General features: G+C 43.2%; 1 long non-coding RNA gene across 7 annotated transcripts in view, besides 1 other annotated feature; it reads right to left on the reverse strand.

Moving 5' to 3' along the window:
* The window catches only part of MIR4435-2HG (MIR4435-2 host gene), a 299,296-nt gene that overhangs the window by 52,410 nt on the left and 229,955 nt on the right, over positions 1 to 16,931 (reverse strand). The window lies entirely within an intron of this gene.
* Positions 14,010 to 14,510: an enhancer, noted in NCBI's record as "H3K4me1 hESC enhancer chr2:112019862-112020362 (GRCh37/hg19 assembly coordinates)". NCBI's record gives its function as "activates a minimal SCP1, AML or CMV promoter by ChIP-STARR-seq in naive H9 embryonic stem cells {active_cell/tissue: H9 hESC(naive)}" and the evidence as "EXISTENCE:reporter gene assay evidence [ECO:0000049][PMID:30033119]".

The following is a 16,931-nucleotide window of genomic DNA, read 5'->3' on the forward strand; positions in this document are numbered from 1 at the left end:
GAGAGCCAGGGCCTGGGTATGGGGACAGTTGATAAGGTAGGGGTCCCATGGACCCAGATCCTGGAAAAGAAACAGGCAAAACTAGAAGGAACTTCTTCTTATCATTCAGTAGAATGTTCCCGGTGAGGATGTGGACTTTATTCAATTATCCAGAATTGAATGAATCAGTTCCCTGCCAGGGTGATCAACTCACCCTTGCTTACCTGGGACTTTCCTGGCTTTAAAACCCAAAGTTTCCTGGGAAATTTCTCTGTTCAGGAAAACTGGGATGGTTAGTCACCTTACCTGGGACCCAGGCTTGGCCACTGAATCTCCCACTACACCTATTCACCTATTTTACAGCAAGGCAATTGAGGGAGCCTTGTGTTGACGTTAGAGTTGTGAACATGGTGACTTGAGCTGTAATTTTGTCTCTGGGGCCATGGGATTGTTTTCAGTCCCTGGACTTGGAACCCTCATGGACCCCATCTCTTTCTAACCCTGTAGATGCTGTCAGCCCCTGCTGTAGGCTTGGGCATGCCCTTTCTGGTTAAACAGTGAGGATGGACAGAGCATAGAATAGCCTCCTGGTCCTGGTAGCCAGTGTGCAGAAGACGGTCCTGAACCTCACGGTGCTCCTGCTTTCTGACCTCAGGCAGAGGCCATCCTACAGACAGGAATTTGGAGCCCCAGCTGGAATAGTGTTGGTGCCCCACCTCTACTCCTTGGTTCTAGAAAAATCAATCCAAGAGTTAGGCATGTTGTATAGCACCCATTCTCCGTATAGTCATATAAGTGTCTGTTTTCAGCACAAGATAGACCCTTTTTCCACTCTGCCCCATGAGGGCCAATTCCCCCATTCTCCAAGCTCCCCTGAGAAAGGCAGAGGACCCTGTGAGAAGCTGAGCTTTGAGGGTGTCCCTTTCCTGGGAGAGCCATTTTGTATCAGTGGAAGCAGAAAACACCAACTGGGGGACAAGACAGATTTAAGTGGGCCTGCCTAATACAGCACATTAATACATGCGGATACAATGGTAATCTAAAAGAGGCCCTGTTCATAGATGACTGTGCAGCACTAAAAGCATCTGAAATTTTAGTCCTAATTTAACTATTTTTTTAAGTTTTTTTTGTTGTTATTATTGTTTTGTTTTGAGACAGGGTCTAGCTCTGTTACCCAGGCTGGAGTGCAGTGGTGTGATCCCGGCTCACTGCAACCTCTGCCTCCTGGGCTCAACTGACCCTCCGGCCTCAGCCTCCCAAGCAGCCAGGACCATAGGCGTGCACCACTGCGCTTGGCTAATTTTTGTGTACATATATATTTTAGTAGAGACTGGTTTTGCCATGTTGGCCAGGCTGATCTTGAACTCCTGGGCTCAAGTAATCCACCCACATTGGCCTCCCAAAGTGCTGGGATTACAGGTGTAAGCCACTGCACCCCTCAATTTAACTCTTGAAAAGTGCAAAAATACTCTGTTCAGGAAGAGGCAGGTAGAGAATTGTTGACATTTAAATGAGCTTAAAAGGTGAAAATTGCATCCATGGCACTAGCAACAATTGAAAGCCTATTACAAAGAACACAGGCTTCACTTCCCAAAGTGGAAAGACAACACTAGCAGGGACTTCATAGCCTCCTTGATAAAACAAAATGAAAGGCAATATAATTTAAAACCATCCTATCAGTATTATTGGATATAGTTCAGATTATGAAGTCATGGTACTGTTGAGAAAAAACAGCCACCAGATTCTCTTCTTTATGGGCCTGTGGGGCCAGGATGGGGAGATACAGTAAATCATAACACAAGGTCAGTTTTGATTTTCCACTCTCAGACTGAAAAAAGTATATGGAGTTTGATGTTTGTTTTGGCTAAACCAAATGCTTTTTCAATAAAATTAATGTTGAATGAATTATAAATAGGCTTTAATATTGAGGGCAGTTGCAAGGAGGTAAAGGGAAGAAGAAAAGTCACATTCCAGGCATCCAGGACAATTTTTGGTGTGTGGAACCTAACATGCAATAGGTACTTATAACATGTTTGCTAATTAGATGAAAGCAGCCTTATGTTTCTAATTTGGAGACAAAGGTATAGTGCTAAGCACACAGTAGGCATTCAAATAAATCCTTTTTGTACTGAACTGCAAGCTTGACTGAACGAGCCTTGCCAGCTTTTGCTCCTCTGAACTCCCTTTCCTAATCTATTTTTCTCTAATTGATACCTCAGACATGAGAATCAAGTTACTTTATGTCATTAGAGTACAAGGAATATTCCTGCTGCTAGAGCCTAAGAAATTTGGTCTCTCTCCCAGACTCACACACACAAAAGAAGTACAAACTGCACACTAACCCATGTCCTAACACAAGTCCAAGTCCTAACCCAAGTCCAAGGTCATACACTCCTGACTCAAGAGCAAGGTTCTCAGGCACAAACACCAACCTCCACCATGGGGTGCAGTGCACTGTCTCCTGCTGTTTTGCTCAAGACCCTCAGCACCATCACTCAACACTGGCTTAACTCGTCTGTAATCCTCTGGCTTCCTTGGAGGTTTAAACCATCTTTCTTCTCCCTGATACAATTCCCTTTAGGGTTGAGTCACTCAGCTCTTTCACTGTCTCACTAACCACACTCTTAGCTCTTAGCTGCATCTCCTGTCCCTCATCCACTGACCCCTCTTTTAGATTCACTGTGTCACAGTAATAATAATACATCCTGGGTATCAGCTGCACCTTTTCTTCTGCATCCTGCATGCATGGGGTCAGTCTGTTTTTATCACATGCCAAACTCAACACAGAACTCAATCCCTCTTGAAGATAACCAAAAAGGTACACTTTTCCAAAACCATTAGTGAGAAGCACAGACTTTACAGAAGATAATGTAAAGAGACCATGAAAGGGGTTAACATTGCACATTCCAAAGACAAAAAATTAATTCCCCAATGAATAATTTTTCTTTTTTCCCAAAGTTATTTGTCTTTTGAGGCCTCATTTCTGACCCTCTTCCCACTAGACTCTCCATCCTCACCCAGGAAAATCAACTCCCTATCCTCTCTTACTTAGAGTAGCTTCTCTGTCCCTCTGAAGCTTAGGTGTCTAGCCTTGGCTTTTACTCCAATCAAGCTTAATTGAGGTGAGTTCTTTCAGAGTAGGTTCTACCCTATAGGAGTCTCATACAATCTCCCTTGAGACATCACCTTCACTATTATCATCACCACCACCACTGCGATCATCGTCACCTCATCACCACCATCACCATCACCGCCACCACCACCATCACCACCACCACTGCCACCATCACCACCTCCACCATCACCATCACCACCACCACCATCACCATTACCACCACCACCATCAATTATTGAGTTAACATCTTGTGTCAGGCAAAGTACTCAGCATTTACAAATGGTATTACAATGATCTTATGAGATAGGTAGTATAATTATTTCCATTTAAAGGGCGAGAACACCAGAGTTTGGAGAACCACTTGTCAATAGGCAGAGTTCATTGCGATTCTCTGGCCTCAACTGGGCCCTTATTGCAGCTGCCACGCTGTTGGTTTCTTCCCAGTGGACTCCTTGCTGCATTCTCAATAGTTGCCCTAGAAAATCATCAAGTTCTTAATCCCAGGCCAGATGACTTCTGTGGTTTCTGTAAAATAGTTTCCTCGATGGGTCTTCTCTTTTATAAACAGCTGTTCTGCTCCACCCTCTCATTGCTAAGGCCAAGATTTCTTGGACAGCACCTGTTCTAAGCATGTTTGGTGCATGACTGCATTATTTCATTTAATCCTCTCTACAAAGTGCTGAAAGCTGTGAAGTTGGTTCTGATAACATCCAGAACCTCCCCAGTTGATTCTGCTTCTCCAGACTTAAAACCCCACAGCATCTTTGACTCTGTCACTTTACACGAACCCTATCCAAGTGAGGAGCTCCTGGATTTCCTCCTGTGGAGCCTGGTCTGTTCTACTGGGAAGAGTGACCTGCCATGCCTGCATGCTACTGGCACCAATGGTGTCAGGGCTCAGAAGGACCATCACTGTGAAATGCCTGGAAAGCCCACTGAGAAAACTGCTTAGGTTTATGTCCTACTAACTTCATAACCAGAGAATGAGACAGTTGAAGACCCTTCATGTAGAAGCACCAACAGGAACAACAGCAGCAAGGCTGCAGAGAAGAGAGATGGACCTAAGGAACCTCCTTGTAAGTGGCTTTTTGTATGAGAATCTCTACCATACCAACAAACAAATGAACACACAAACAAAACAAGCTCAAGATCTCAATTCTATAAGAGTTTCAGGAGACAAGCACAATATTAGCAAATGCCACATTGTAACCAACACCAGCATGCCATCCTGCTAACTTGGTTTCTGGTGAGAAGTCAGCTGTTGTTCTTATTGAGGATTGCTTCTGTGGGATGAGTCACTTCTCTCCTACTGCTTTCAAGATTCTCTTTGTCTTTTACTTCTGGTATTTTAATAATGATGTGTCCAGGTGTGGATATTTTTGAATGTATCTTACTTGGAGTCTATTGGCTTTTTTTTATTTTTTTTTGGAAGTGCAGTTTAATGTTTTACATACAATTTGTTAAGTTTACAGACATTAATTCTTCACATATTTTTATCACCTTTCTCTTTTTCTGCTCCTTCTGAGACTCCCCATTATGTATATGTTAGTATGTTTCATAGAGATCTACAGGTTTCTGAGGTTCTGTTCATTTTTCTTCATAATTTTTTTTCTTTCTGTTTCTCAGTCTGGAAAATCTCAAATGAACAATGTTCAAGATTGCTGATTATATCTTCCACCTGATCAAATCTGCTGTTGAGCTCCTCTTAAAATTTTCCTTTTAGTTATCTTTTTAACTCTAGCATTCCTATTTGATTCTTTTTTTTTTTTTATCATTTCTATCTCTTTACTGATATTCTGTGTTAGATAAACACCATTTTCATCCTTTCCTTTAGTTATTTAGACATGGTTTTCTTTAACCCTTTGAACTAAATTTAAAGACTTTTTCTAATAAGTTTTATGTCTGGGCTTCCTCTGGAACAGTTTCTATTAATTGATTTTGTCCTGTGTATGAGACATATTTTCTTGTTTCCTTACATGTCTTGTAATTTTCTGTTAAAACTGGACATTAAAAATGCAATGTGGCAACTTTAAAAAATCAGATTCTTTCTCTACTCCTCAGGTTATGTTGTTTTTACAGTTTGTTGGTGTTTTTGTTTTTTAGTAACTTTTCTGATGTAATTGTGTTATAAGTCTGTATTCTTTGTCTTGTGTAGCCACTGACGTCTCTGCTTTGTTAGCTTAATGGTCATCTAATGATTGGAGAGAAATTTCTTTAAGGATCAGGAACTAGTAAGTCTCTGTCAATGAAAAAGAGTTATACTATGTAAAATATTTGAAGAGATTTATTCTGAGCCAAATATGAGTGGCCAATGGCCCATGACACAGCATTTAGGAGATCCTGAGAACATGGGCCCAAAGTGGTTGGGTAACAACTTGGTGTGACATATTTTAGGGAGACATAAGGCATCAATCAATACATGGAAGATGTATATTGGTTCAGTCCAGGAAGGTGGGACAAGTGGAAGTGGGGGTTTCCATATCATAGGCGGATTCAAAGGTTTTCTGATTGGTAATTGGTTGAAAGAGTTACTATCAATAGAAAGGAATATCTGGGTTATGATAACAGGTTGTGGAAACCAAGATTTTGTCATGCAAATGAAGCCTCCAGGTAGCAGGCTTCAGACAGACTAGATTGTAAATGTTTCTTATCAGATTTAGAGTCTGTTCTGTTAGTAACTCCAAAAAGGAGGAGGGTATTACCAGGTTTGTCCAGCTCTGCCTTCCCATCATGGCCTGAACTTCTTTTTCAGGTAAACTTTGGAATGCCCTTGACAGAGAGGAGGGATCCATTCAGATGGTTGGGGTAGGACGACCTTAGATTTTTCTTTTTGGTTTACATCTCCAAGTTTTTGCTGAGGTGCTCTACATGCATGTTGGGGAATGTCCTCCACACTCATCCAAGCAGTTGACAATTCCACCTTAAACTTAGATTTTGACAATATCTTCTTGTCCAGAACTTTAAGGGAGCCATTGATGAGGGTTTAGGACCTTCTAAGATCTTTTCCAAGCCTGCACACAGCTCTGTGCATGTGCAAAGCCTATCTTACTCCTGCTCATGGCCTTCCAGATTTCCCAGAATATGTCAGAGCTTTTCAAAGCCCCTATGAACATCCATTCTCCAGTTTTCACTTTAAGCTTTTTAATTAGCCTATTGTTTGTTGCAACTATTATCCACTATCTCAAGCATCTGTGAAGTTAAACAATTGCCTCTAAATGTTTTTAACAAATGCCCCTGAAGAAATGGCTTTTCACACTGGGCAAACTCCAAGTCAGATTAAATAAAGACAGCCTTGCAAGTGGGGTCTTTCAGAGAACCACTAGACGGGTTTTCTCTGTGACTGGGGGCTGCTGGTTTTCAAGGCTACCATGAAGCTGGAGAAAGGGTGATGCGAATGGGGCAAGTTAAAATGTCACAAACCCACTATTCTAGGTGAAATTCAGTTGTTTTGCTTGAGCAAACAATCCTTGGATGGCTGCAACACTTTGGTAAATTTCCAGAGTTCTAAAAAGTTGATTCTGATTATTTTTGTCACTTTTCTCATTATTTTTATAGAGGAGAGAATTTTGCTGAGATCACCGGATTGCATTATCTTTTCCAATATTGTCTAAATAAAATTAATATGTTAAATTATAAAGGCACATAACAAACCATCTTACTAAAACGATTGGTCCATATAAACAAATTCCTTTGGATTTAAGTAGTCAGTCGAGTGACTCACACACCTTTTCTGACCACCATTGTCTGACTGCTTTGGCAGACTCCAAAGCCTGGGCTGTGGTGGACCTGTATCCCTACTCCCTCCTCTGCGTGCTCAGCACTGGATGGTTTTACTCAGCAGTTAGCATGAAACCCTCTCAGGTAGTAAAGTCTTTTGAAGATATAACGTGGGAGCGTTCACCAGACATCAAGAAAATTGCATGAACAGGTCCTCTCATTAGAGGGACACGCTCCCAACTGTTAGCAGAGTTGGAATTTTCCACCTACTGTGGCTGCAACATTGATCCTGTAGAAGTATGGGAATGAAGAATAATGATGCTCACTCTTGGGGAAATGGGTACCCAGGAGGACTTCAAGGTCCACCTTCTAACTCCTTATTCACATTTCATAATCCTTTCACTACTTTGATGCACATGTGCTGTACCAATCTACAAAGCATTACTTGAGGGCAACTCTGCCGTGGAACTCATGCTCCCCTGTTAAAGGTCCCTTCCCAGCCTTTGCCATGGGTCCCTTCTTTGATAAAATGCAGGCTACCAAAAGACTTGCATGGATTAATTATTAATTAATTTTGTTTCACATCAATTGTAATGAATTCGTATGGACTATTTCACCTATACACATTTTTATTGAACTAAATCAAACCTAATGAGGTTTCCGACCAAAGTAAAGAGGCCTCTCCTCAGCTCTAAAGAAAGAAACATGGCAGTAGGATGTACTGCATTCTTAGGGTTAGACTCAGATTTTCTACTGGCATTTTGTAATGTAGTATTTCAAACATATATAAAAATGAATCTACCGTCTACTTCTGTCACTTGATGCCAATCTTCTATATCACCCTTGTGTCCACGTCACACACACTTCTCACCCCATTCCTGCTTTACCTTGAAGCCAATTTCAGTTCTTAGATAATTTTATTTGTAAGACATTCAGCATGTATCTCCAGAAGATAAGGGTCGTTCTTCTGTGACAGTTTTATTGAAGTATAATGGCCACATAATAAATTGTACATAATGGAAGTGTGTATTTGAGAAGTTTTTTATGTTTATGTCTCTGAAACTATCATAACAATTAAATAATGAACATGTCCATCACACCCAAGAGTTTCCTTGTGCTATTTTGTAGCCCAAAATACATGCTGAATATTTTAAAACTAAAATGTGACTTTAACCCTTCCCCTGCTGCTGTCCAACTCCTTCCCCCAATAGGCAAATACTGATCTGCTTGCTGTTACTATAGATTAGTACACTTCCTAGAATTTTATGTAACTAAAATCATATAGTATGTGCTCTTTCTTTGTCCATGTTCTTTTATTCAGCATCATTCTATTGGATTCAATAATGCTGTTATAGGTATCAATTGTTCCTTTTTTAAATTATTGGTTAGCATTCCATTATATGACTACGTCACAATTGGTTTATCCATTCACCTGCTGGGGTACAACTGGGTGATTTTCGGTTTTTGGCAATTACAAATAAAGCTATTATGAACACTTGTTTAAAAGCCTTTGTGTGAATATATGCTTTCATTTTTTGTGGGGTGTAAATAACCAAGTGTGGAATGACTGAGTCATATGGTAGATATATTTTTAACTTTTAAAAAAACAACAAAATGCTCTTCAGCATGGTCAAACCATTTTCCATTCCCACTAGCTGTGAATGGAGTTCCTGTTGGTTCCACATCCTTGCAAACACTTGATATGGTCAGACTTTTCAATTTCATCCATTCTAGTGTGTGTTATTATCTCACTGTGGTTGTAGTTTTCATTTCTCTAATGACTAAAGGTGTTGGGCCTCTTCTTGTTTACTTATTTGCCAGTCCTACAAACGACTTGGTGAGATGTCTTTTTCAGATCTTTTGTCAACTAAAAAAAAAGTATGTTGCTTTTCTTCTTAACTTCTTTATACATTCTGGATACAAAACCTTTATTATATATATGTTTTGCAAATATTTTACCTCAGTCTGGGGCTTTCCTTTTCATTTTCCTAAATGTCTTTTGAAGAACAAAAGTTTATGTTTTATTTTTATGAGGTTCAGTCAATACCTTATTTCTAATTTGTGTTTTATCTATTGAATTTAACAGATCACTGCCAAAACCAAGATCACCAAGGTTTTCTCTATTTTCTCCTGTTTTCTTTTAGGAGTTTTATAGTTTTAGTTATTACATTTATGTCTATGATCTATTCTGAGTTAATTTTTTATATGGTATGAAGTAATGACGGAGGTGGAGGTTTTCACTTTTTTCTTTCTTTTCTTTCTTTTTTGCATATAGTTACTCAATTTTTCCAGCATCATTTGATGAAGATTATACTTTCTATGCTAAATTTCTTTGGTGCCTTTGTCAAAAATAAATTGACCATGTAAATATGAGTCCATTTCTGGATTCTCAATTCTTTTCTACCCATCTGTGTACCCATCTTGACACCAATCCTACTGATTACAGTTGCTTTACGATAAGCTACAGTAATCACAAAGTAAATTGTAAAGCTTTATAATCAGCTTTATAATAAGAATACAGGACTTGAGAGGTTTCTAGTGTGATCTGAGAGACCAAAATAGACACCCCTTTACCAACTAAGACAGATCTTAAGGTTAGGGAAAAAGTTACCTATAAGCCCAGGGTTTAGGGCTTGGCTGGCGTGGCAACTCCCTAAATTCCTATGGTTACAAGAAAAACCACACCCTTGTTAAACTCTCAACAGTACAGCTAATCAGGCAAATTGTCAGATGCCTCCTAACTCTGGTTGGACAGAGGACTGGTCTTACAAGGATTCTTTCCAGATGAGCAGCTGTAGCCCTCAAGTCCCTTTGGAGAGCTTGTGCACAAACTGCCTTTGTGTCTGATAGCTCACCTTTTGATGTAAAGAGCCAAATTCCACCTCATTTTAATGCTAAAATCCTGCCCCTAAGTGAACATGGGATGTGTTACATGTATGTTTATCCATTGCCCATGTAGTTGGCTCCCCTCATAAATATATATAGCTTTTCCCCCAAACCTACTGAATATGCATGACTCTATTATATAATACCGACCCTGTAAGGCACAAAATCCAAGCTGCCCTTGCCCTCTTTGAAGAAGGAGCATCTTTGCTCCACACTGGAGGCTATCTTTTCCCAGTTTGCAAACATATCACCAATAAGACTCTCCTTTCTACTATTTAGCCCTCCTGGTGATCTTCTGGACAACCCCGGCTTGCCCCAAAGTTCCTGTCCCCACATCCTGGAGGGCCTCGTGCCTCTCTGGGAAGTGAGACTGGGATGCAAGAGCCCTTTGAGGTCTTCCCCTGCCTTGACATAAATGAAAAGACAGTAGGGGAGCCTGGCTCAGAAGAAAGAGTTGCAGAGTGTGGTCTGGATCACCCAGCAGGACCAGTTATGCTGCCTGCCTGCCAGGAAGTGTTGAAAAGTGACAAATGAGAGGTACCAAGGAGGTGGGTGTCTTTGATTCTACACAAAGATGACTAGGAGGACAGGAAATAGCAGCTTATGCACACTGGGTCACCTATAGGTTCAGTCAAGATTGTGATCTTAAAATATAGAAGACCTGAATGGCCTCCTTTCTATTTGTCTCCCTACTGAAAAAATAATCCCATACCATGTTTTTGGGTATTGGAGAAGGGAACACATTTGAATTATACTGAGGATAAAACTTCTAAGAATTCTCACAGGGCTCAGAGGAGAGGCCATGACTGGCTTGTGGGGCAGGTAAGCAGTAGGGAAAGGAAGGTGGGTGAGTGTAAAGGCACAGTGGTGACCTTCAGCAAGGCCTCATAGGAAAGAGAGGAGGTGGGGAATGTAGGTAATTCTTGTTAGGGGCAACAAATGAGTATTAGTGAGAATGAATAGATGGTGGGGGAGGGGGGACAGAAACTAACCTGTAAATTATTCTCTTTTGAATTTTAATGAGCCTGAGAGACAGACATTATCTTGTGAAAAGGTCCATCCAGGTACGAGATTTCAGGGAACAGATGGAAAGCAATTGCTGTCCTTGGTGGGTCCAATCTTTATACAGATAACCAAAAGCCTTTTCCAGCATCTGCTTGTCTCCAAGGGCCTTTAATTCAAAATATTCATCATGCCAGGGTGCCATATCTTGGGGTAAAATTATTATTATTATTATTATTATCTTAATGTACAAAAGTGGAGAGTTCAGATTCCCTTTCTTTGAGCAAAATTTGCAGAAGTAATGACCTAAGGACATTCACCAAACTCACATTTCCAGCACAGGCTGGTTTCCAGCCAATGTTTCCCAGCTTTCGGGTACGGGCTTGCATTCCAGGAGCTGCTTTTGCAAGTTTGGCTCCATGGTCCAACGCATTTAGGAACTGCTGCCGACTGTGTCCCCTTTTGAAGATTTGTGAAAAAATCAACATATCAAAGGCCCTGAACCCATGAAAAATGCTCAAAACAATTAGTCATTAGGGAAACAAAAATCAAAATCACAATCACAATTAGGTACTACTTCATACCCACTGGGATGGCTATAATAAAAAAGGACAGACAATAATAAGTGTTGGTGAGAATGTAGGGAAACTGGAACTCGTGTACACTGCTGGTGGGAATGCAAAATAGTGCACCTGCTTTGGAAAAGAGTCTGGGAGTTCCTCTAAAAGCTCAATGTAGAATTACCATATGACCCAGCAATTCCACTCCTCTGTATAGACCCAAGAGAACTGAAAACATATGGTCAAATACAACTTGCTCATGAATGTTTATAATGACGTTATTTATGATAGCCAAAAAGTGGAAACAACCCAAATGTCCATCAGTGCATACATGCAACAATGTGGATGAACCTTGAAAACATTAAGTTAAATGAAAGAAGCTGGTCGCAAAAGATCACACAGTAAATGAGTCCATCTGTATGAAATGTCCAGAATAGGCAAATCTATAGAGGCAGAAGGTAAATTAGTGGTTGTCAGGGGCTAGGAAGGAAGTGGATGGGAAATGGCTGCAAACAGCATGAGGTGTTTTGGGTGGTGATGGAAACATTCTGCAGTGACATTGTGGTGATGGATACACAACTCTATACTAAAAGCCAATGAGTTGTTTACTTAAAGTGGGTGAACTTTATGCTATACAAATTATATCTCAATACAGATTTCTTTAAGTCTTCAGGAAGCCCTCTGGTAAAGAAGTCAGCCTAACCCAGCCCTGCACTCATCTGACCACCAAAGCTTTTCCTCACATTGGCACTCTGAGAAACTGGTATTCTGAAGAATATGTTTTAGGAAAAACTGCTTTAGACAACAGGAATTTGGCAAGAGGAACTTTGTTTCTGTGAACACATATTTGGCATGTCAGGGTACATCCTTTTGTATTTTATTTATATTTGATGTGTCTATGTCCTGTCTTCTTGGTGGCTTTATAAACATTTTGGGGAGGGAAAGTATGATTTATTCTCCTTGAGTTCCTCCTTCTCACCCATACGATCCATAATGTAGTGCACACATAAATATCTCTAAATATGCAGTTGGGACTTTGCATCACTAATGAGTTAAACTATTCAACAAAGCCAAAAATATGTATTATGGGCCCTTAAGTGCCAGGCACAGTTTTGGGCATGGGGATACAAGAATGAGGGAGCTTATGATCCAATCTGAGACCAGGCCAGGGGCCATACAGTAGAGGCATCTCTCCCTGGAGGGTTAAGTTCTGAAGTCATTCCCAAGGCACATTTTTCATGTAGTTGAAATTATTGAACACCTTAATGGAGGCACCATATTTGAGACTTACCCCCTTGCTGTTGAAAAGCAGACACAACCAATTTCTTCTTCACTGTTGGAAAAGATTGCTTTCCCTTTGGTTGGGCACCAGTTGAACACTTGTACTTAACAGCTATCTTGGCCAAAACCGTGTCTCCTCAAAGGTGAGTCCAGGTCAGGCATGGCGGCTCATGCCTGTAATCCCAGCACTTTGGGAGGCCGAGGTGGGTGGATCACGAGGTCAGGAGTTCGAGACCAGCCTGACCAACATGGTGAAACCCCGTCTCTACTAAAAATACAAAAATTAGCTGGGCGTGGTGATGCACGCCTGTAATCTCAGCTACTCAGGGGGCTGAGCCAGGAGAATTGCTTGAACCCGGGAGGTGGAGGTTGCAGTGAGCCAAGATCGCACCACTGCACTCCAGCCTGGGTGACAGAGTGAGACTCCATCTCAAATAAAAATAAAAATAAAAATAAAAATAAATAAAAAGGTGAGTCCCACTGGGGCAAATCTAGGTGCTCCTGGCCTCAGCAGTATGCAGGAAGGACAAGCACAGATAAGAGTGAGGGATGCACTCCTCTACCCTCCACTCTGCATCCACCCTGGGTTGTAGCTAGGATGGCACACAGACTGACTGGCACAGTCTAAATAACTTTTTCTTTATTTTAAAAAATTTGCTGCCTTGCTTACACACTTATATGAGCTTGTTCTGTGACTCCACAATCCTGAAGGTCAGCCTAAAGTCCAAACACTGGGCACTGAAGGAAGAAAATGACCCTGGAGATGAAAAGGACAGCTGGCTCACAGGAAAGCTGCTCATGGCAGGCAAAACTGGAGGACAGAGAAACGCACTGACCTTGGATGATACAGTTTGGATGTTCATTCCCCCCAAATCTCATATTGAAATGGGATCTCCAGTGGGCCCTGGAGGTGGGCCCTAGTGGGAGGTGTTTGGGTCATGGAGGAGGATCCCTCATGAGGGGCCTGGTGCCGTCCCCACGGTACGGAGTCTTGCTCTACTTATTTCTGCAAGATTGGATTTTTTAAATCTGGCACCTCCATCCTTCTCTCTGTTGCTCTCTCTCTCACATGTAACATGCCTGCTCCCCTTTGACCATGACTGGTCATGACTGAAATCTTCCTGAGTCCTTACCAGAAGCAGATGCCGGTGGCCATGCTTCTTCTTCTTCTTCTTTTTTTTTTTTTTTTTTTTTTTTTTTATGGAGTCTCGCTCTGTTGCCCAGGCTGGAGTGCAGTGGCACGATCCTGGCTCACTGCAAGCTCCACCTTCTGGGTTCAAGCAATTCTCTGCCTCAGCCTCCCGAGTAGCTGGGATTACAGGTGCCTGCTGCCAAGCCCAGCTAATTTTTTGTATTTTTAGTAGAGATGGCGTTTCGTCATCTTGGCCAGGTTGGTCTTGAACTACTGACCTCGTTATCCACCCACCTTAGCTTCCCAAAGTGCTGGGATTACAAGCATGAGCCACTGTGCCCAGCACCATGCTTCTTCTATAGCCTACAGAACTATGAGCCAAATAAACCTCTTTTCTTTAAGAATTACACAGACTCAAATTAGCCTGGCGTGGTGGCGGGCACCTGTAGTCCCAGCTACTCAGGAGGCTGAGGCAGGAGAATGGTGTGAGCCCGGGAGTTGGCGCTTGCAGTGAGCCAAGATGGCACCACTGCACTCCAGCCTGGGCGACAGAGCGAGACTCCGTCTAAAAAAAAAAAAAAAAAAAAAAAAAAAGAATTACCCAGATTCAGGTATTCCCAGCAACACAAACAGACTAACACATGGGGTCTCCCAAGATAACACACTGCAAATGTGGGAAAGGAGCCTGGAAAGAACCATGGGAAAGAAGTTGATGTGATCAGAACACCCCCACCGAGGGCAGGCGCTTAGCAGATCCCCTGTCTCTGAGTTAGCAGCAGCAGGAAGCCTCCCCTGGGAGACGCTGGCTGCAGGATGAGGCTGCCAGCCTCTACCAGGGACATCTGGAAGCCACACTTGCTGGCTTCTGTGGAGGCAGAGGGCAGCCTTTCCAGCAGGCCACTGGCTCTCTGGAGGCTCTTGGGGCCCATCCTACCCTCAGGGAACCTGGGGAGGAAGTGTCAGCTGACTGTGCTCCTGGGTCACTCACGGAAGCCCCTTTTCCTGCCCCAAAATGAATCTGAAGAGAAGAAATCCTAGCGTCTGCCAAGTGCTATCACCCAGCCTTGCAGCATGAACATATCCAAGGGGCCTGATGAGCAGCACCTGGTCTCCCACTGGCTCAGACACTTGAAGCTACTGAATTTACATGTAATTAAAGACTCGAGTGCAGACCGCATTTCAAAACAGACACTTGGTTAGAGATAGGAGGCCTTCCCCATCAGATGGTTTTGTTTTGCTTTTCCTCTGCATATGGGCCTTACAATTTGCCAAGGAAAGGTTACAGGGGCCACCGTTGTTTAGTTTGAAGATGAGAAAGCTCAAGAATGACCTAACTACTGTCTTCAAATATGCAGAGGCATTTATTACAAGGAGGGAACGGCTGGCTGTTTTTTTCTTAAACTGCAAGAAAAGGCAGCTCAGCTAAAATCCTAAAGACCTGCACACATGGCCTCCACACTCAGCCCTTCCCCACAGCACCTTGCACATAGGAAGCACACTTCTTGCCGTAAAACCCAGGACTGCCTGCCTTTGATAAGGAAGCTTAGACCTTGACTATGATTGAGGAAGGAGGCCACGGTATCTATTTTAGAGAAGTCTAGTAGGTTCTGCCTGGTGGCTGGCAGTCAGGTCACTGAGTTTATGGCAGAGGGGTACAGGATCCTCAGTGACGGAGGCCTTATTCATGGCAGGGCCCTTAGTGTGGCTGACAGGTGGGTCATCAAAGCTCTGGCGCAGACGTGACTGAGCTGAACTCCTCTGAATAATAGAGTTGAGAACATGGAAGCCTACAGCTATGAGGAAGTCCAGGAGGAGACGGGAGAAGCTGGGGAGGCTGGTGCTACTGCTGGAAGACAGGCCAAAGAGGAAGAATGAAAAAAAATTCCAGCAGGCCATTGAGAAAGAACTTTGAACAACAAATGTTTAATAGGGATTGCAGCAGTGTGATGCAGTCCCCAACTTTGATTTCCTGCTCCACACGAGATCCTAGTGAACTGTCTCTAGTTATTACTCCTTAGCTCCATGTAGTTCCAGATCCTTTCCTGTGAGTGGATTTGGCTTGGACAGAAGAGGGAAGACTTATGTGGAGGTGGGCGCTTGGCTGCCGCCACCATTGTGGCCATCTGGAAAGGGTGAATCTTCGAGAGGAGAGCCCAGTGACTGTCGTGCATTGCCTGGGACAGCCCAGACACCTAATTCTGATCAGACAGAAGTCCCTGATCAGATGAAAAGAAAAAGCAAAGATTCTGTCTGTCCTGACCGCCCTGCAGGTTAAGCTGCCCTGCAGCCAGCAGAGTGCCTGGCATACGGGAGGCACCCTGTGCAGCAGCCAGGGCTACTCGCCCAACTGGGAGGAGGCGGATGGTGGGTAAAAGTGAGCACTGGGCCTTCCTGATGTGAGGCGAGGATGTGGATCTGGGAGGAAAGACAAATGAAGAAGCAGGTGGACAGCCCCAGCTGGGCTCCAGGTGGGGCCTGGGGTAAAGTGACCCTTCTGCATTGCTTTCCTGCTCTGGGTACCCGTAACTGCTAACAGACCAGGGCTGAGTCCCCAGACAGCCTTCTTGTCTGGGGTTCAGTCTGTGCCACCCTCTCCAACTCACCTACTCTCTATTTTCCATCTGCACTGAGACCTTGTGAACCACCGTGAAAAATGCTTCTCACTTCCAGTCCCAAGAGAGGTGGAGAGCCGCAGTAGAACGTTGCAGAAGGAGAGGCGGCTTCTAGCTGGGGATATGGGGGCTGGCCCTTGAGCAGGACTTTGCAGGATGGGGTGGACATCCATTGCTATATATTCTCCTGGTGCTGTGCTATAGGACCCCCTACTGTTTCAGGAATAAAGCCCAGCCCCTGCCAGGTGCTTGCAGTCCAGGGGGCACCCGGGTGAGTGGCAGTCAGGGCCAACACTGTGTGGTGGCAGGGCTGGGCTGGGAGCCTCACATACATTTTCCTCATGATCTTCCCCTGTGACCTTGGTGATTTCCTGAGATTTTTGTCAGTCCTTCCCGTTCTGCAAGTTGATCAGTTTGGCCCTTTGGTTTTCAGATTTTTATGGAAAGAACTTCTCTCATCCCTGCTTCATATCCTTTCAGTTCTGTCCAAAGGCAAATCTCTGACGCATTCCCACTCCGGCCATCTGACGTGTGCTGGGTCACGAGGGCAGGCTGCAGCCTCCCTTGCAGTCCCTTGCCTTAGACGCCCGCGCCAGCCCATTCAACCATCACAAATGCGCAGACAGAGCAGAAGGTTCCCAACAGGC

Source organism: Homo sapiens, chromosome 2, assembly GCF_000001405.40.
Source record: "Homo sapiens chromosome 2, GRCh38.p14 Primary Assembly".
Classification (NCBI taxonomy): domain Eukaryota; kingdom Metazoa; phylum Chordata; class Mammalia; order Primates; family Hominidae; genus Homo; species Homo sapiens.